We start from the raw sequence: 20,948 nt of genomic DNA on the forward strand, positions 1-20,948 counted from the left end.
CATGAGATTTTCCTGCAAGAACAGTTTGCCTTTGTATGCCAATTTAGCATTAATTATGGAATGTATCAGGGAAAGGTTGTGTAAAAATGAAACTTGATATTTGGAGTTTTCTGCTTTCTTTCTGAATTATGTTAACACTCTCTAACAGTAATACTTAAAATAGCATTTCTAAGGATAATTCTTAAAGCGAATCAGAAAAAGGTGTTCTATATTCCATTCCTTTTCTATTGAGACTTTGCTACAGTATTTTCTTCTTACCAGCAGTGCTGAAAGTGCTACTTGTGGTATAAATAAAAGCACTGTTCAGTTTCCTTATTTTCAACCATGCTTAGGTTTTAAATTTTTATTTACTTTGCCCTTGATGTGTTTATGAAGACAATCAAGCATTTAAAATAGTGAGGTTACCTATTAAGGAAAGGATCTGTTATGCTACTTGGGGGAAAGCTGGTCTGGTACATAAAAGCTTGATGAGTCAACAGTGTTTCACCTGCATTTGGAAAAAGTGGATGAAAATACTGTTGTTTAAAAATACTTCAGTTTACAGAATTAGATGAAGCAATACGAATCTAAACACAAGTCTCTTACCTCAGCTGGTCAGACTGTTGAGTCCGTAGGCTGTATTAACTCATTTCCTTCCTCTGCTTCTCAGAGCTTGCTTGAGGGTGCTTCTCTCTTTACCTCAGTGTTACTTACTACTTCCCTAGATAAGCCTTCCACAAGTAACCCTTTTGCTTCTGATGATGGAATTTAAATGACATAGACATGAAAAAAATAAAAGACCTTCAAATGTTTGGATCCATATAAAAAGTTACCTTTTTGAGTCTTTGCCTAATGGGTTCCTGCTTAGTCTGTGTGTTTGACTTTTAGGAAGTTTGTTTGAATCTGAGTTATGGCTGTTATCACATTGGAAAAATACATTTCTAAAAACATAGTAGATCTTAGTATACATTTTTGGGAACAAATTAAGATACTAAGAATCTTTCAACCCTTGGAAGCTTAATCCATTTTAGGAGAGAGTGTGTCTTCAAATTGTTCTCAAAGATCCAAGGAAAAATGATATTAATACTTTGGTATCATAAATAGTGTCCTCATCTTTGAATGGAAACTTCCAAACTTATTTTTAGATACTCCTTTTCTATCTCCTAATGGTTTGTATTGTATTAAGTGTGTAGATCCTTTTGTTGAATGTGGTTCTGAGGGGAAGTAGGGATGATCTTGGAGACTGTCCTATTGACTTGGAAAGTTTTTCCCTTTCAGAGCATGAGCATGAATAATGGAATTTTAAAAACAATTTTATTAAGGAATAATTGGAAAACAAATGGATTTGTTTTCTCAAACTTTAGTTTCAGCTGTCTTATTAAATCTCTTGTTATAACCATTCTCCTGCAGAAGTGGTTATCTCTGTGACGCTGGGATTTTCTCTTCTCCCTGGGAGCTTATTACCTTGGCTATTTCCTTCATTTTCTTAGTTTCAGGTCTTTCTGTGCATGACTTGGAGATCTTCATCTGAGCTCGATCTCCATTCTAGTTCCAGCCTTACCATTTCATTTACTTTCCCAACGTTCCCATCCAAGATGTGTGTCGAAGACTGTTGCTTAGGCTCTGTTGGTGACCTCTTTATGGGTGTCCCTCTGCTCTCTCGCACACTGCTGCTGGGTTGTTCTTTCTGAAATTATCTTTGATCACTTTCACGTCCTCATTGACTACTTGCAAAGGCATCACATTATACTCACACAAACCCTCCATGACCATAACCCACTTCTGTTACCTTTCTTCCTGCCCCACTTCTGCTCAAATGCGTTTTTACTCTAATTTAGCCCTTCTCAACTGGAGTTCCATGGGAGAATTCTGCCTTGAGATCTTAAAGCATCTGTTGTATGTATCAGATTGTAGGTAGCAGTTTGTGTCCTGTATCTCTAGAATGATACTAGCTATGTTTTTTCCTTGGGAGAATTGAGAATGTACTCACTCATCATTTTTTGTAGGGCTTAATTCCCTCCCACATCCCCATTGAGAAGGGCTGCTCCAGTAAAACTGTACTGTTCCTTGGTCCTGGGACCCTTTCCATATCTTTGTTCCATTTGTTTCCTCTGCCACCCTGTGACCAATCCTGTCTCATCTTAAACCGCAGCCTCTTGGATGATGTTTTCCTTGGTCCTCAGGTGAAATAATTCCCTCCCCGCAGTACACACATAGCTTTAGCCCACACTGACAAAGATGTTTATATGGAAGGTGTATACACACACATGCTTTGACTCAGCATCTTTTCTGTGCCTGTTGTTGCATTTTCCACTTTCTTCCTTATTTCCCTTATTAGAAGGGGAGGCAGGCTTGATGCCTGGCGGTGTGCATAACCTCCCTCCCACCGTGAACCGTGCATGCGATAGGTATTCTAATAGTTTGGCAAAGTGCTAAAAACGCCCTGCTGAAACACAGATACCTGCTTCAAAACACTTTATTTGCAAGTCTTGCTTTGTTACTTGACTTTTTATCTGCAAAGCCCTAATGAGCACAAATACTTAACTACCATTTTCTCTGTCATCCTCTTAAACCTTTATCACTGCCTGTCCTACCTTGCCCTGCCCCATGCCATCTTGCCAGTACAGAAAATCTGAGCTAAAGACAGTTGTCAGTGAAGAGTGAGTTGTAAGAAGAACTAGTTGAGTAATAAGTATTGTTCAGCTGTTGAGCTTATGGTATATTTATTGTAAGTGAATCCATTTTTGTGTACTTAAAATGAAAATTTCTGTAAAGCAGATAGACTCTAGTTAAAGTGGCAGTATTCAGAAAGAAAACTGCTGTCTAAAAATGTCAACCAGGTCAATAAAACTTTTTTTAAAAACCTTTTTAACTGACTGTAAGTGTAATCATTGGAGGAATTTTGAAAAATATGTTAAAGGAAACAAGTTACTAACTTATAGAGAAAAATCACTGATAATCGATTGATGAATATGTCTAGTCTGTTGTATATATGTTTCCCATGTCATTAAGGTCATTAAGTATTCTGTTACTAAATTTTTTTTTTTGAGACGGAGTCTCACTCTGTCGCCCAGGCTGGAGTGCAGTGGTGTGGTCTTGGCTCACTGCGACCTCTGCCTCTCAGGTTCACACCATTCTCCTGCCTCAGCCTCCCGAGTAGCTGGGACTACAGGCGCCCGCCACCACGCCCAGCTAATTTTTTGTATTTTTAGTAGAGATGGGGTTTCACTGTGTTAGCCAGGATGGTCTCGATCTCCTGACCTTGTGAGCCACTGCACCCAACCTTCTATTACTAAATTTTTAAAAATATTATCTGAGTTCTTCCTTTTTAGGAAGGACTAGTTTTTTTAACCAGTCCACTGTTATTCATACACTTGGGTTTTACAGTCTTTGAAACATTATGAATAATAGTGTTATAAGTATCCTTAAGTATAAATCTGGTGTATAACCAGAGTCCTGGAAGAAGCATTGCTATGTCAGAAGACAGACTTAGGTACTTACCAACCTTTGGGATAGGTAAACACACATACATACCACTACCACGGCTATCACTACCAGAAAAGAAGTTCGACCCAGCTTATACTCAAAGCCTGAGTGTATAGCTTTTAAAAATAGTTATACTGTCCAGGCGCGGTGGCTCATGTCTGTAATCCCATCACTTTGGGAAGCTGAGGTGGGTGGGTCTTATGAGTCCAGGAGTTCAAGGCCATCCTGGGCCATGTGGGGAAACCCCATCTCTACAAAAAATACAAAAATTAGCCGGGCATGGTGTTGTGTACCTGTAGTCTCAGCTATGAGAGAGGCTGAGGTGAGAGGATCTCTGAGCCTGGGAGGTTGAGACTGCAATGAGCTGTGAGTGTGCCACTGCACTCCAGCCTGGGCAACAGGGCGAGACCTGTCTCAAAAAAAAAAAAAAAAGCATATTTGTGTAGTTTTCAAATGGTGAAAATTATTTTATTACTTAAAAATAACACATTAGGAGAGAAGGGTACAAGGGTCCAACTGTGAAGTTTAATTTTTTTTGTTAAGTCCATCCCCCCCGCACCATAGATTTCTTAGCTATTTGTGTGCATTTTTTGATTTTGCAAATATTTCTATTGGTATATCCATCTTTTCTTTATTAAAATAAGAGCTAATCTGCCTCAAGATGCTTTGGGGTTTTTGCAGTGGACTGAACAAAATTAAAGGTTATTTTATTTTTATTTTTTGTTGTTGTAAACCTCTTCGACCTGTCTACAATATCATTTTGAAATTTGAGTTGGGGCAATGTCTGTTACTTCTCTGTCATCACCAATAGTCAGCTAGAACATAACTTTTCCCTCAGAGAAAGTTACATGAAGGTTATATGTACCAGGAATTAGAGACAGTTTGGTGAGGAAGACATTTAGCCATTTGTCAAACCCATTTATTAACTAAAATAATTTTTGGAGAGGACTTAAACATGAAAAATACCTCAGTCTACATGATAAGACAGGCTGATATAATCAGATCATTGAATTGTTTCTTGTTCTTTTCCAGTATTAATTTTAAAGACCCACAGTTTGCTGAAGATTACATTTTTAAAGCTGTAATGCTTCCAGGAGCAAGGTAACAACAGTAAATTACCTAGATTTATTTTGTACAAATGGTTTTCATCCCTATTACTAAGTGTTGTCTTTTTAAATGGTCAGAAAGCCAGCAGCAGTACTGAAACCTAGTGACTGGGAAAAATCCAGCAATGGACGGCAGTGGAAGCCTCAGCTTGGCTTTAACCGTGACCGGAGGCCTGTGCACCTGGATCAGGCAGCCTTCAGGACTTTGGGGTGAGTTGTCAGTTTTTAGCCCTTGTATATTTTGCTTTTTCTGAATCATCCCATAAAACAAGTCAGTATTTATGCCATATATATAAATTTATGCCATATATATAATATATGATTATATATTATATATATTATATATAATATATAATTACATATATAATATATAATTATATATAATATTATATAATATATAATTATATATATAATATATATAATATAATATATATATAAAATTATAAATTTATATATATATAATTACAGGAGTGAGCCACCGTGCCCGGCCGAAACCCAGTATTTTCATAAAGTTTATATATATAATATATATAAATATATATTATATTTATAGTTTATATAATATATATAAATATATATTATATTTATAGTTTATATATATAACATATATAAATATATATTATATTTATAGTTTATATATATAACATATATAAATATATATTTATAGTTTATATAATATATATAAATATATATTATATTTATAGTTTATATATATAATATAGTTTATATATATATATTATATATATAAACTTTATGAAAATACTGGGTTTGGGCCGGGCACGGTGGCTCGCTCCTGTAATCCCAGCACTTTGGGAGGCTGAGGCAGGCAGATCATGAGATCAGGAGATCAAGACCATCCTGGCTAACACAGTGAAACCCCGTCTCTACTAAACAAAATACAAAAAGTTATCTGGGCATGGTGGCAGGCGCCTGGCGCCTGTAGACCCAGCTAGTTGGCAGGCTGAGGCAGGGGAATGGCATGAACCTGGGAGGCGGAGCTTGCAGTGAGCTGAGATTGCGTCACTGCACTCCAGCCTGGGCGACAGAGGGAGACTTCCGTCTCAACCAAAAAAAAAAAAAGGGAAAAAAAGAAAATACTGAGTTTGTTTCACACATATATTTTTGTCTCACCACCATGGCAGACCACCACTACTACTATGTCCTCTCATAACATTGCTTACATACTTAAAACCAAGCAAAGAGTGGAGCTCCATCTTTAAAACCTAAACAGGCATTTTGGACAACACATTATTGTACACCACAAATATCTAACAGACCATAAAATACAACTGTTTTGTAAGTATTTTAATAACTTTGATACTGCTCTGCTTTTCTTCATTTTTAAAAATTCACTTCTCCATTTATGTATTGCTATATGTGTTGCATGAGAATTCTATTACTTTCTCTAAGACGTTTTACTGTTTTTCTGACTCTTACTTCAAGGGAATAAAACCTCCTCTTTACCCGCAAGAAAGTTTTAGCTGAATTAATTAATGTATGATGGAGACTCTTTTTCAAGTGTTAACCAATATATTGGTGTAGAAGCCTCCAGTCTCTTAAATTTTTGTTTGCCCAGTGCTTGAACAGTGGTATCTCGTAGTTGCTTGAATTGGCATTTCCCTGCCTACTGAAATTATCTTTTAATATGTTTATTAGTAATTTGTATTTCCTCTCCTATGAATTTCCAGTTTTTATCCTTTGCCCTTTTTAGTTAACTGAATTGTCTTTTTCCTAGCTGTAGAAGATACTATAGAGAGAGGGGACTTGTAAACAATAACAGGTAAAGCTGGTATAGAAAGAGCAACAGGCTTGCCATAATGTTAATGAGTTAGGATTCATGCATTAATAATGATAACTTATAAATAGATGTTTCCAGTTAGTGGGGAAACCTTAAGATTCAAAAAATTATTTAGGCAGAAGGTCACCATCAACATGTAATTTATACAGCAAATATTAAGAGGGATAGTGTGGCAGAGTGATTAAGAGCATGGGCTTTAGATCTTAAATGTCTGGATTCAGATACCTTTTTTTTTTTTTAACCACTTAATATACTTGTGAACTTTACCGAACCACTCTGTGCCTCCATTTCCTTATGTCTGAGGTGGAGACAGTAATTATACCTACATATTCTTAAAATTATGAAGTTATGAGAATTAAGTGAGCCTAATGTCTGTCAAGCGCTTAGGGTAGTTCCTAAACACTATGTAAACATTAGTTGTTATTGTCATTGTTTTGGAAAAATCTTCATTCTTAGTAGCAGTAAAAGAAATGCAGATTTAAAATAGTCTTAACTTTTTCCATTATTTCAACTGTTTTGGAAAGCAACATAGTATTTCCTCTGAATAGAGCAGTGAGTTCAGAAGATACTCTTAACCTTTGGTCCAAATTCCTACCTCTTGGATTTGTGAGGAGGAAATAATTTTAGATGAGCATAATTATATGCCCAAATATTTATATTGTATTGTAATCTATACTACTAGTACGAAATGAGAGAAATGGTTTAGTAAAGTATAAGACATCAACATAGTAAAGTATTCTATAGGTTTATGTGTTGGAATTACAAAGATGAAGAAAAGATACAGGCAAGTATTTGATATAGTAAATTAAAAATAGCAAGATGTAGAGTAGTCATGTATACAGTGATAGCAAGAACATGGATCCTTAAGGACAAAACTGAAACATAATGCAAAAAAAGAAAAATATGCAAATTATTTTTCGTATGATGTAAGTTGTAAATATTTAAATGGTTATCAATTAAGAGTCTTGGTGTGGCAGATGAACATTTGCTATCACTATTACCATTATGTAGTTTTGAGCTTTAATTATAAACCACCTTTTTGTTTGTATTATCTTAATCAGATCTGTTAGTGAAGACGTGGCTATGAGCATTTGTTTTATTTGTGTCAGCTGTGTTATGATGGGTATATCACTATACAATTTTTTTTTCTTGTGTTGGGTCCTTTTATAGCCATGTGATGCCAAGAGGCTCAGGAACTGGCATTTACAGCAATGCTGCACCACCACCTGTGACTTACCAGGGAAACTTATACAGGCCGCTTTTGAGAGGACAAGCCCAGATTCCAAAACTTATGTCAAGTAAGCTTTTACAAATCGGTTATTTTACATTATAAATTAAATATCACAGCAAATGTTGGTTTCTAATCTTCTTTGCTGAAAAAGATTTGTTGTATCAGTGCAGACAGTGAACTTTAAAAACATGTAAGTTAGAAGAGTTGTGAGAGAATACCTTATGCAAAATCTTTCATACATTTTTTATCTTTATTTTTGTGGGTACATTGTAGCTGTATATATTTATGGGGAACATGAGATATTTTGACACAGGCATACAATGAGTAATAATCACATCAGGGTAGATGGGGTATCCATCACCTCTAGCATTTATCTTTTGTGTTAGAAATAATCCAATTATATTCTTAATTATTTTGAAATGTACAATTAAATTATTGACTATGGTCATCCTGCTGTGCTATCAAATACTAGATCTTATTCATTGTTTCTAACTATTTTTTCATAGCCATTAACCATCCTCCCCTCCCCAACCCTTCCCCTACTACCCTTCCCAGCCTCTGGTAACCGTCCTTCTACTCTCTGTCTCCACGAGTTCAGTTGTTTTAATTTGTAGCTCCCACAAATAGTGAGAACATGCAAAGTTTGTCTTTTTGTGCCTGACTTGTTTCATGTAACATAACGACCTCCGTTTCCATCCACATTGTTACAGGTGACAAGATCTCATTCTTTTTTGTGGCTGAACAGTACTCCATTGTGTATATGTACCACATTTTATTTATCCATTCATCTGTTGATGCACACTTAGGTTGCTTCCAAATCTTGGCTACTGTGAATAGTGCTGCAGTAAATGTGGGAGTGCAGATGTCTCCTTGACGTACTGATTTCCCTGTTTTGGGGTATATACCTAGCATTAGGGATTGCTGGATCATATGGTAGCTCTATACTAATTTACATTCCCACCAGTGGTCCATGAGAGTTCCCTTTTCTCCATATCCTCACTGGCATTTGTTATTGCCTGTCTTTTGGATAAAAGCCATTTTAACTGGGGCAAGATGATACCTCATTGTAGTTCTGATTTTCATTTCTCTGATCATCAGTGATGTTGAGCAACTTTTTATATACCTGTTTGCCATTTGTGTGTCTTTTGAGAAATGTCTATTCAGATATTTTGCCCACTTTAAAATCAGATTATTAGGTTTTTTTCCTATAGAGTTGTTTGAGCTCCTTACATATTCTGGTTATTAAACTCTTGTCAAATGGATAGTTTGCAGATATTTTCTCTCATTCCATGGGTTGTCTCTTCACTTTGCTGATTGTTTCCTTTGCTGTGCAGAAGCTTTTTAACTTGATGTGATTACATTTGTTCATTTTTGCTTTGGTTGCCTGTGCTTGTGGGGTATTGCTCAAGAAATGTTTGCCCAAACCAATATCCTAAAGATTTTCCCCAAAGTTTTGTTGTAGCAGTTTCATAGATTTAAGTCTTTAAACTATTTTTATTTGATTTTTTATATGATGAGAGATAAATTTATGGTTTTATTCTTCTGCATATGGATATCCAGTTTTCCCAGCACCATTTATTGAAGAGACTGTCCTTTCCTCAGTGTATGTTCTTGGTTCCTTTGTCGAAAATGAGTTCACTGTAGATGTATGGATTTATTTCTGGGTTCTCTGTTGTATTCCATTGGTCTGTTATCTGTTTTGATGCCGGTACCATACTGTTGTGGTTACTATTGCTCTGTAGTATAATTTGAAGTCAGGTAATGTGATTATTCCAGCTTTGTTCTTTTTGCTCAGGATAACTTTGATTATTCTGGGTCTGTTTTTCATCTTGACTATATATAGTTAAATGAATAAGGTAATTTGGATTTCTTCCTTAATCTTCACTTAAAATCTGTTTCTCAGTTAACACAGGCAAAAAAAAGTATGAGGAAATGATTGCAATTTATTTAATTAATACAAGTATAATTAAATCAGATATGGTAGATATGGATCGTCATCACTTAGTTGCCTGAAAGACAAAGGTGTCCCTTTCTTGATTCAAATTGTATCTCAATGCTACCTACAATATAGCCAGGGACTGCTTTAGGTAGACTATACCTTTAACCCTATATTTCTGGAAGACATTAGTCTTTCCTTAACCCCTCATAATCTGTTTTGTGGACAGGTCAGAAATGTTGACCACAAAAATAATTAACATGGCATTTGGATTGCAGTGGGAAAGGGAAAAGATAGTTGAATGTTAGACTTCATAGATTTTACATTGATTTTAAATTGTGTCCCCATTTAATGTTATTTTTGAGCTCCATTGTTATGCCCATTTATCAAAGAATTGTAAGTCATGTGCCAGTGTTTGTTTCTCAAAATGAATGTCTTCATGAAGGCTTTGTTTCTCCATTCCTGGTTGTCTGGTTGCCACAAGGGCAGCATGGGGGAGAAGAAACAGTGTGGCAAGATGCTCACGTTTGTTAAATCTGAGTGTCATATCATTAAAACATTTTTTTCTAAATGTTTGAAATATTTCATAAAAATTTGATTTCCAAAAAACAGAGTGATACTTTGTTATAGATACCCCTCAGAGCTGTTTTTAAACCGAAGCTGTACTTATGAAAGAACGTGCCAGGTTAAAATGGATAATTGATGGGAAATATTTGTACTATGCACCTAGCACTGTTGTAATGCTAGTTAAGTTACACACCAGAAGTCCAGATTTTCTGGATGTAGTACCCAAGAAGAAATTGGTTCTATAGGTCTTACTCTTTCAGGGCCCTCTGTTTTTAGTGTATTCACTCTCTGTCTCTGTTCCTCTCTCTGGCAGTGTAGCTTTGCTGTATAGCTTAATGACATTGAGTGGAGCTTTGTGAGGCTCTATCATGCAAACTATGGACTTGTGTTCAGTGAAGCACAGAAGGGGCACAGAGGTACAGAGTCAGTGGTCCTGTGGGAATCTGCTTGGTGCAGTGGCTAACAGCTGCTTCCCGTAAGATTTAGCAAATAACATTTCTAGGTATTTCCATGTATTCAGTATCAAGTCATACCATGTACAACAGGAGAGTCTAATCATTTTGAAGGAGCTATCTTTGCCCTAAGATTTTACTAATAAATGGTGAAAGCATATCCAACATATTTTTAAAGCCAGCTGTTACTGACACATTCCTTATCAGTTTCTTTTTTCTTGTGACTTTTTACCATTTACATGGATACCATGGCCTTTTGCTTCTAGCAGAAGGATCATGTTCCAATAATAAGGGAAAGAAGCCAGAAGGTTCTTTTATTTATTAGCTTTACACCAAAGGAGAGAATTTCATGCCCTTAGGGGCCTACAGTTCTATAGTTCTTCGTCTGCCTTCTTTGGAAATAGACAACTCTTGTTTGCATCTGTGTATTTTATTTCAAATAATGGAGTCCCCTCTCTACTTTTATTAATATTACTTTGGTTAAATAACTCCTTATTTGCCATTGTTGTGGCTGTTATTAGATTTAATGTGTACTTACAAAGTACAAAATACTTACAGACTTTAATTAGAATGTATTCCAGTTAGAATATCTTTATTTCAGTTACGTCATGAAAAAATTGGGAGATATGTTTTGTAAAGTAGGGATTGATTTAGAGCAAGAAACAAGTACCCTCTGCCTCGTGACTTGTAAACATTGACTCAACTGAGGATTAGTGCTGGGACTCTAATGACATTTAACATCTTTTCAAAGGGCACAGGAATGGGAGGAGTGAAAAAGTTTATGGACAAAAAATTGGCAATCATGTGATATTTAAATTGAGCCAACAAGTGGGGAATTTGGGCTCCTCTAGGCTGAGAGAAAATTATGAGCTTTGAAGTACATGGCAAGTAGTTGGGTGGTGTTAAGCATAGCATAACTGGTACAAAATTAGACTGGGAGCATACTTGGAACAGATTATGAGGGGAGGAGAGCTAATTTTTAAAATATTTTTAGTGATTTTTAAATATATTTTTAAAATGCATTTTTAACTACAGTACATGTTAATTGAATAAAATGTGGCATGTAGCAATAAAACATAAAAAACACCCATAATTCCACAGTCCCGAAATAAGCAGTGTTTCTTTTTATTATTTCATGTGTGCAAGTTTTGAAAATTAGATTATTGTACGTGTATTTTTACATATAGTTTTTTATTGAAATGTAACATATGTAAAGTGCTAAATCGAACCGTACAGTGTAGTTTTTATGAAATAGATATATTCATGTATTCACCATTCAGATTCAGTAGAAAAGTGTCAGTCCTCAGAAGCCCCCCATTGTGTCCTTTCCAGGCACTACCCCCTGCCCATTAAAGGGAACCAGTATCCTGACTGCAGTATCATAGTATCATACATTACCTTTTTGTTTTTTTAACATTACCTAATAGTTTAAAAAGCTATTACATGACTACCCTTTTAAAAGCTTGCCTTTTTTTCAGTCTTTGTTTCTGAGATTTATATTGCTTGTAGCAGTAGTTCATCCGTTTTCTTTTTCTTTTTTTTTGGTCTCCCTGAGATGGGGTCTTGCTCTGTTGCCCAGGCTGGAGTGCAGTGGCACAATCTTGGCTCACCACAACCTCCACCTTTTAGGTTCAAGCAGTTCTGCCTCAGCCTCCTGTGTAGCTGGGATTACAGGCATGTGCCACCACACCTGGCTAATTTTTGTATTTTTAGTAGAGATGGGGTTTCACCATGTTGGCCAGGCTGGTCTCCAACTCCTGACCTCGTGATCTGCCCGCCTCGTTCTCACAAAGCGCCGCGATTACAGGCATGAGCCACCGCGCCCAGCAGTTCATCTGTTTTCATTGCTTATAGTGTTAAATCATAGGACTATATCACCATTTATTTACTTATCCAGTAGCATTTGGGTTGGTTTCTGGTTTGAGGTTGCTGGATTGGACTGCTGTGAAACTGTGCGTCCTTCAATGCACATATGTAAACACTCATGATGGATATGTACTCCATAGGAGTGGAATTGCAAGACTGTAGGATTGTGTGTATGTTCAGCTTTAGTGAATGAAAGTGCCAGACACATTTTCCAAATTACATTCAGTTTGTATGAATTTACACTCCTCCAGCAGTGTAGGAGAGTTCTGGTTGCTTCATGTTGTTGCCAACCCTTGGTGTTGTCAGTCTTTGCACTTTTAGCTATTTGACTAAGCAGGGAGTGAATATCTCACCGAGCTTTTAGTTGGCATCTTCCTGGTGACTAAGTGGAGCATTTTTTAAAATGTTTATTGACCATTTGGATATTTTTGTTTGTGTGATGGTAGTGTTCAAGGTTTGTGTGGTTTTTTTAAATTGGGTTGTCTATCTTTTTGTTTTGTAGGCGTTCTTATATTCTGGTTATGAGAGTAGTTTTATATTGGAAATATCTTTTTCCACTTGGCAATTTGCCTTTTCGCTTTATTATTGCTGTCATATGATGAACAGAGGTTTATGCCAGCATTTAGGGAATGTGGGTGAAGGGGATGTGGGAATTCTTTGTACTCATCTTGTAACTTTTAAGTTTGAAATCATCACAATAAAAAATTCAGGACAAAAAGAATTAATACTATATAATTGATGTGTTTTGATGTTTTAAGTAACAGTATCTTAAATATCACTTTCTAATTGCTTGTTTATATGTAGAAATAAAGTTGATTTTTTTGATATTTGTATCTGACATCCTTACTAGATTCATTTCTTCTAATAGTTTATATGTTCTTTGAAATCTTTTTGTGTACACAATTATGTCATCTCCAAGTAGTGACCATTTTATTTATTTATTTTCTAATCTTAATGCCTTTTTTGTTTGTTTTTTGTTTTGCTTTATTGCACAAGCTAGGACCTCTCATAATTAATAGAAGTGATGATGGTAGATATTTCATTCCCAATCAGTTTTAAGGGGGAGACTTTTACTGTTTCATCATTAAATATGAGGTTTGCTGCAGTTTTTTTCTGTGTAGATAACCTTTATCACACTGAGGAAGTTCTTCTATTCTTTGTTTCTAGTGGGTATTGAATTTTATCAGATGCTTTTTTCTCTAAAACCTGGGGGTTTTGTTTGTTGTTTTTTCTTTGTTGTGTTAATATGGTAAATTACACTGATTGATTTTGAAATATTAAACCAACATGGCATTTCTGGAGTAAACCTAATTTCTGGAATATATCATCTTTTTATATGTCACTACATTCTATGTGTCAGTGTATGGTGGGATTTTTAAAATCTATGTATTATGAGAGAGATTAGTTTTATTTCCCTTTTTTGGACGTTCTGGGGTAGGGTTTTTCTGGCCTTATAAAACAAATTAGAAAATATTTTCTACATTTTTGTTCTCTGTATGGGTTATCGTTAGATTGTCGTCATTTCTTAATTTTTAGAAGAATTCAGTGGCCAAGCCAGTTGGGCTTAGAGATTCCTTTATGAAAAGGTTTTCAATTATAGATTCAAATTTTTTAGTTCTGGCTTTTCAGATTTTTCGGTAATTCTTATGTTGGTTTTGGTAAGTTCTTTTTTTTTTTTTTTTTTTTTTTTTGGTGGGAATGTGCCCATTCTAAAATTTCAAATTTATTGCCAGAAATTTTTCATAAGATTTTTAATGACTGTAAGACTTCAAAATTAAGTGCTGATACTGGTAATATATAGTCACTCTTCTTTTCTTGATTAGTGTTGCTAGAATCTATTTAATTTTTTTTTTTTGAGAACCTATTTAATTTTATTGTTTTTTTTTCCTCCCATTGAACTAACCTTTAGCTTTGTTGATATATAGATATTTGTTCTTTTCCCTCCATGTACATTTGTTTTCTATTGATTTCTGCTTTTGTCTTCATTATTCTCTTCTACTTTTTTGGGGGATTAAATTGGCATTCTTTTTCCAAGTTTTTGAGATGGAGACTTAGGTAATTTATTTTTGGTCTTTTCCAATATATGCACTTCAGTGTTACAGATTTCTCTCTAATCACTTTAGCCTTATCCCACAAAGTTTGGTCTCACATATTTATTATCATTTAGTTCATGGTATTTTCTGATTTTTATTTTTTATTATGTACCCATGGATTATTTAGAAGTATATTGCTTAATTTTTTTTTTAATTTATAGGGCTTTTCCAATAATCTTTTAAAAATATATTTATTTCTTAACTGCAGGCTAAATTTCTAGAAATGGTATTGCTGGATCAGAAGGTATGGTGAATTTCTAGACTTTTGGTCAGTATCACCACATTAACCTCTAAATAAGAGTATACCAATTTGTACTTCCTACAATAGCATATGAGAATGTCTAATATCCCACTCCCACCAATACCAGGTGTTTTTATTTATTTATTTATTTTTTATTTATTTATTTATTTATTTATTTGAGACGGAGTCTCTCTCTGTCGCCCAGGCTGGAGTGCAGTGGCGCAATCTCGGCTCACTGCAAGCTCCGCCTCCCGGGTTCATGCCATTCTCCTGCCTCAGCCTCCTGAGTAGCTCGGACTACAGGCGCCCGCCACTACACTCGGCTAATTTTTTGTGTTTTTAGTAGAGACGGGGTTTCACCGCGTTAGCCAGGATGGTCTCGATCTCCTGACCTCGTGATCCGTCCGCCTCGGCCTCCCAAAGTGCTGGGATTACAGGCGTGAGCCACTGCCCCCAGCCACCAGGTGTTATTTTTTAAAAGTTCTTGGCCGGGTGCAGTGGCTCACACCTGTAATCCAAGCACAGATTTAACCAGGCGTGGTGGTATGTGCCTGTAGTCTCAGCTACTCAGGAGGCTGTGGTGAGAGGATTGGTTGAGCCCCGGGAGTTTGAGGCTGCAGTGAGCTATGATAGCCCACTGCCCTCCAGCCTGGGTAACAGCAAGACCCTGTCTCTTTAACATAAAATAAATAAAGTTCTTGCTAATTTGATAAGGAATAATGTGTCTTTGTTTTAAGATATGATTTTTCAATTTCTGCTTTGGTCATATTTTTACTGACCAGTTTTTCTTTTGTAAGTTGGCTGTTCTTGTCCCTTGCTGATTTAATTTGGGCACTAGTCTGTTTGTTTATAAGGTTTTAAAAACTCTAGAAGAATTAACCAGATACCTCTCCATTGTAGAACCACAACTCTGTGGGTTAAGGAGAGATGATGAGGGTCTGAACTACACTGGCAGAGTGGATCCAAAGTCCGGAAGGTGGGAGGAAGGGAAGGCTGAAAGTCTGGATAATTGAATATGAAGAGTGAGGAGGAGAGGGAGAAGGGAATGAAGAGTCCTGTGCGTTCACTGTGATGCCTGGGTGCTTACTGAGGCCTTTCACAGAGTTTGGAAACCCAGGAGGGTGAAGGAATATGAAAGAATGTGATGAGTGAGTTTGTGGGGGTCAAAGTGCCTGAAATACTTTAGAGGCATCTGTGCTAGGTAGTCATAGGAGTCAGGTTCTTGCTCAAGAGAGAGAGGATGTAGTTGGAGAGAAATTTGGGGATTGTCTGCATATAAACTAGAAACATAAAAGCTCAAAAAAGAGTTGAATAGATTGATGGATTTCGATTGCTCTTGGTTATAAAAAAAACCTTGGAAAGCTTGGGTTAAGAGTTTGGACTTCCTAGAAGGCAACCATGTCATTTCACAAATCATTCCCTGATACTTTTGTAAGAAATGTATTGGATAAATAATTAGCTTCATCTAGAATGGTCATTAAAGTATGATAAGTTCAGGCAAATGCTGCAGACAATGAAGAAAGGAAATCTGATATTTTCCTAATATTCTTTAAGCATAGTCCAACATATGATTTGTCGGTTTTTTCTTTTTTTTTTTTTTGGTCAGTCTTGCTTTGCCACCCAGGCTGGAGTGCAGTGGCGCAATCTCAGCTCGCTATACCTCTGCCTTCCAGGTTCAAGTGATTCTCCTGCCTTAGCCTCCCAGGTAGCTGGGATTACAAGTATGCACCACCATGCCCAGCTACTTTTTGTATTTTTAGTAGAGTCAGGGTTTTGCCATATTGGCCAGGCTGGTCTCAAATTTCCTGGCCTCAAGTGATCTGCCTGCCTCAGCCTCCCAAAGTGTTGGGATTACAGGCGTGAGCCACCACGTCCGGCCTGTGTTTTTTTTTTTCTTTTAGTTTACTGTCATTAAGACTTCTGACATATTTATTTTGTGATCTTGTTACTTCTAGATTCAATATTTGTGTAGAACCAGTCTTCACCTATGTATCAATCTTTCATCCATTCATCCACATCTTGCTATAAGAGGAAGAAAAACACAAAAGGAAGAGAGATAGAGGGCAAGGAAAAGCATCCTTAAGATGATTTGGACTTGGATGGACGGGATTGTAGAGTGAATCTAAGCGCCACATCTCTCTGTTGCTTCCTCTGGCTATGAGGGCAGAGAGGTACTTTTTTGTCCCTAGGGAGATAGGCTTGACCAGGAAGGGGACCTGGTTCATTTCACCCAGGCTGTCACGGCTTCGAGAGCACCTCTCCGCTCTTTCCGTCCCTCGACAGACCGGCTGATCTCTTTGAAGTGATGTTGGGTTTTGGTTTGTGCTTCAGGAACCGCTGATACTGATTTTTATCTGATCCCTTCTCTTTACATTTTAAGTGCCAGATTTTGAGGGGTAGTATTATCCTTTTAAAAAGAGCAGAGATTCCAGTGTTTTAGCCAAGATGTTTTCTTATTTTCTTCCTATAAATCCTGTATTTGCCTAGATGCTTACAACTAAAATGTGTGTTATTTTTCTTTCCTATCCTAATTGGATATGAGTAATAATGTCGGTTGTAAACCTTTAAGATGTTGAGAGTAGTTGTTAAACCCCCCATCCAGTCTTGTTGAAACTGTAAGTTTCTGAGCCTCCTGATTAAGCAGCACAAAATCATGGGTGGTTCTCCTCTGCGTCTTCTGAAATAAATTAACATGAAGTGCCATCTCAACCGACAGCATAAATGAATGTGAAACTTTGAGATTGCACAGTGTAGTAGAGAGTGGTTACGGGGACATAGCCCCTGGCCTCACTCTGTGACCTCTGACAGGTTTGGTCATTGCCCCAGTTTCCTCATCTCGAAAATAGTACAGAGGATAAGAATATTTACCTGACAAAATAACCAGACTAAATGAATTTAAGTAGCTAAGCACTTAAAATAGTACGTTGTACATAATAAGTACTGTGAAAGTATTAAGTGATAAAAGATCATCTTTCCTTTTATAGAATTTTGAACTTTAAAATTTAGTCAAATAGCTTGTTTTAGTAAGATTGAGTTCTAAGCCATTTATTCAGTCTAAAATATTTTTAGTATCATAATCATTTTCTTCGTGTAGTATGAAATTGCACTCAAGAAGGGCCATTTGGTCAAACTGACAACTGTCAAGTGTCTGCTGTAGGTATTTCTTATTGTTGGTGTTTGATTTGTCTTTGATGTGTCAGTTTTGGCTGATGAGTAATTGTCTGAGTACTGATAACTTGTTGGAATCGAGTGTAGCCCTGAGTACTCAGTCTGAATAAAGCATTTGGTTTCTGTAGCCCAGAGAACCTTAAATGTGACTTCTCTTCATTTTAGTCTGTAAACTTGTCAATTAGCCACGTTGAAAAGTGATTTTTGACTAGTGCTATCAGTAAACATGGAATCTTTTCTGTGATTGCCACGCTGATTAGGTAAATTGTCACTTGAGAAGCTATTGGCGAAGCTTGGTTTACATGGCCTTAGAGCTCTAGAAAAGGGATAAGTTTTTAAAGACCAAAGGAAAAAATTTTCCACTCTCGCCTGTACCTTCTGAAGTGCAATTCACTGTCTCAGAATTTTTTTTCTTCCTCTCAAATGGGTCTTCTGTTAGAGCCATACAAATGAATGATAATAAGTTTGTTTTACCATCTACTTCATTACAGATCAGCCAGGAAATACTTCTGCTTTATGAATACTTCCAGGTTATATATGTTACTAAGAGCCATATGAAGAAATTTGGTTAAAAATAGCCTTGAAATATTTCTTTGAGCCTTTTTTCTTTTTGGATTGAAAACAAGGAGTGTTTTAACAGTTGCATCAGAGTTTATTGAAAGTTTTGGAAAATTTGCTTAGGTTTTAACAAAAAACTGTAATTTTTGTATGTGCTGAGTTTATATGGAAAAAGAAAATTGTCCTGGAGGTGAGAGATAGAAAATGGAAAATAGAGAGGCACCTGGCACACTAGAAGTGATATATTAGAAATGTTTGCTGTTTTTTAAGACATTTCTAGTTGTATAGGTTAGACAACTAGTTGTATAGGTTAGACAATTATTTCCTCCTCCAAAAAAAGCATTTACACTTAGTAAACTTTACATTCCAGTTCTACTTAGAAATACTGCTGTGCTTAATCTAAGAATAGCATGTTTGAGTCTAATGAATATATATTATGGGTGGTGATGGCTTCATCTCCATTAGCACAGTTTCTAGGACAAAATATACAAGTTTTTTTCCCATCTTTATTTTTCTTAAAACATTAGATTGTTTCTGAAGGTTTCTCTTAATGTAGCTGTATCTTTGTATTGTCTTCATTCGATTTTAAATTTATTAGGGAGCCACTGTGGAAGCTTTCGTAAGTACCATGGAGAATGTGTATCCTGCGATTATACCATACATAAAAAGACACCAGGCAAGCACAATATGGAATTAAGTCCTAATGGTAAAAAGGGGTATGTTTCCAGGGTAACCGCAGTGATTCCAGGGGATGTGAAGTAGAGGGGTCCGGATGAATATTTGCTGTATTTCTTTTGACTTCTGTTACATTTGCAAATTTTGTATATATAAGGGCACTAAAATGAAATACTTCTGGGAACATTTTAACTGATTCTCACTAAACTAATTTTGTACATGAGCTGAAAAAGTGGCTCAAACATTGATTTTACTTTCAGTAGATTACTTTCTCACAAATGGTAACTCATTGAAATTCATATATGTAAATGTATCTTAAGTTTTCCCATAGAAATAAACCATACAAATGAAATGATTGCTATTATTGTAAGAACTTCTTACTTTTATCTCTTCAGAAAATTGATTTTCTGATAGTGTATAGTCTGTAGTAATGACTCAGAACTTACTCTGGGCGTAGGGTGGGGAACTGTCTTCCTCTGTTTTCTGTGGAGTGTGTAGTAGTCAGCATCCTCCACATTGTTACTCGGTTTGACTGCTAGTAGTTTGGTTTTTAAGAAATAAAAAAGGAACTTAATTCCAATTGACTAAAGATACCACCTTTTAATTCACAATGGGAATCTGCCTGGAAGTGACAGCTGGTGAAGGGCTTCCTGCACCTTTCTGAGAGGTGGGTTTGGCACCCATGGGTATGGCTGCAGAAACTTTTCCAGCTGGCCATGGACTGATGTGGGAGTGGGCTGTGGCAGCTGCAGATGGCTGCCCTCCTTCAGGTAGTTTGTCCACATAAGGAAAACTTTCTTCAGTCTGGCCTTCTCAGCATGTCGAGATGGGAAGGAAGCCAGGGCTGAGGCTGCCAGTTATGAGCTAGAATCATTGTGAGCAGCTAGATATTTTATTGATTCCGTGTTCTTTGTCATGGGGCTTTTAAAGCATGATTCTACTTTTTTCTTTCTCTCTCTTTCTTAAGTAAAAACCATATATATTTTTGGTTTCTAACCAGAGATAAGCTTTCAACTCTTCTTTTCTTTAAGTAATTTTGAAAAGCATTTTTCTAGTTTGTGTTTCTATTAAAATGTGAGCCTGAATACATTATGGTAAGCGTTGTCCTTGGTCTCGGGAGTCTAGAGGAGGTTACTGTCCTCACATGGTGAACTCATTAGACAACTTCTGGAACCAGCAGTTTTAATTAGGTCACAGCAGACCCCGCTGAAGGTGAAGTGACTGCAAGCTGTGGTTCGCTGATATAGACAGGCCCAGATGTTTCTTTCATCCTATATCCGTCAGTTTATGTAGAAGAGCAGGAGCCATTTAATTGTTTCTTCTAGTTAGATGATGTTGCTAGTTCAGCTTTGCGTTACAAGAAAACTATCAGAAAAGATGGAGAAGTGGGTGGTCCCTTCATTAATGTGTTTTCTTGGTTTGTGTTGGAGAGATTGTGTGTGCTCTGCTTAATGTTAATGAAAGCAATTTATGCCTTCAGAAGGAAAATTTCAGGATTTCTGTTGTAGATACTATTCATTCAGTTTGTATTAATTCTATTTATGGAAAAGAACTAAACCTTTCCTTTTCCACAGCATTTAAAATATAAATGTAAAAACTGTGTGTAATGTATGTATCTTTACTTACACACACATACACACACACACACACACACACACACACAGGATTATGTGAGTTTAGTGACCAGGGGTTACTAAACCTATTTTGTTATCAAAGGAAAAATAATAAAAAATTTGCTGACCTTGTTAGTTACTTACCTTTTTACATTTGTGGTGTGTGTTATTATGATACT

The 20,948-nt window shown here is 36.3% G+C and overlaps 1 protein-coding gene across 3 annotated transcripts in view; it reads left to right on the forward strand.

The window, feature by feature from the left end:
* Positions 1 to 20,948, forward strand: part of XRN2 (5'-3' exoribonuclease 2) — an 86,495-nt gene that overhangs the window by 57,593 nt on the left and 7,954 nt on the right. For all 3 annotated transcript variants that reach the window (NM_012255.5, NM_001317960.1, XM_017027723.3), the window contains 3 exons: positions 4,498 to 4,566; positions 4,650 to 4,781; positions 7,540 to 7,667. In NM_012255.5, coding sequence (NP_036387.2) covers positions 4,498 to 4,566; positions 4,650 to 4,781; positions 7,540 to 7,667 — 329 coding nt within the window. The remainder of the gene's footprint in view (positions 1 to 4,497; positions 4,567 to 4,649; positions 4,782 to 7,539; positions 7,668 to 20,948) is intronic.

The sequence above is a fragment of the Homo sapiens genome, chromosome 20, assembly GCF_000001405.40.
Source record: "Homo sapiens chromosome 20, GRCh38.p14 Primary Assembly".
NCBI classification, from domain to species: domain Eukaryota; kingdom Metazoa; phylum Chordata; class Mammalia; order Primates; family Hominidae; genus Homo; species Homo sapiens.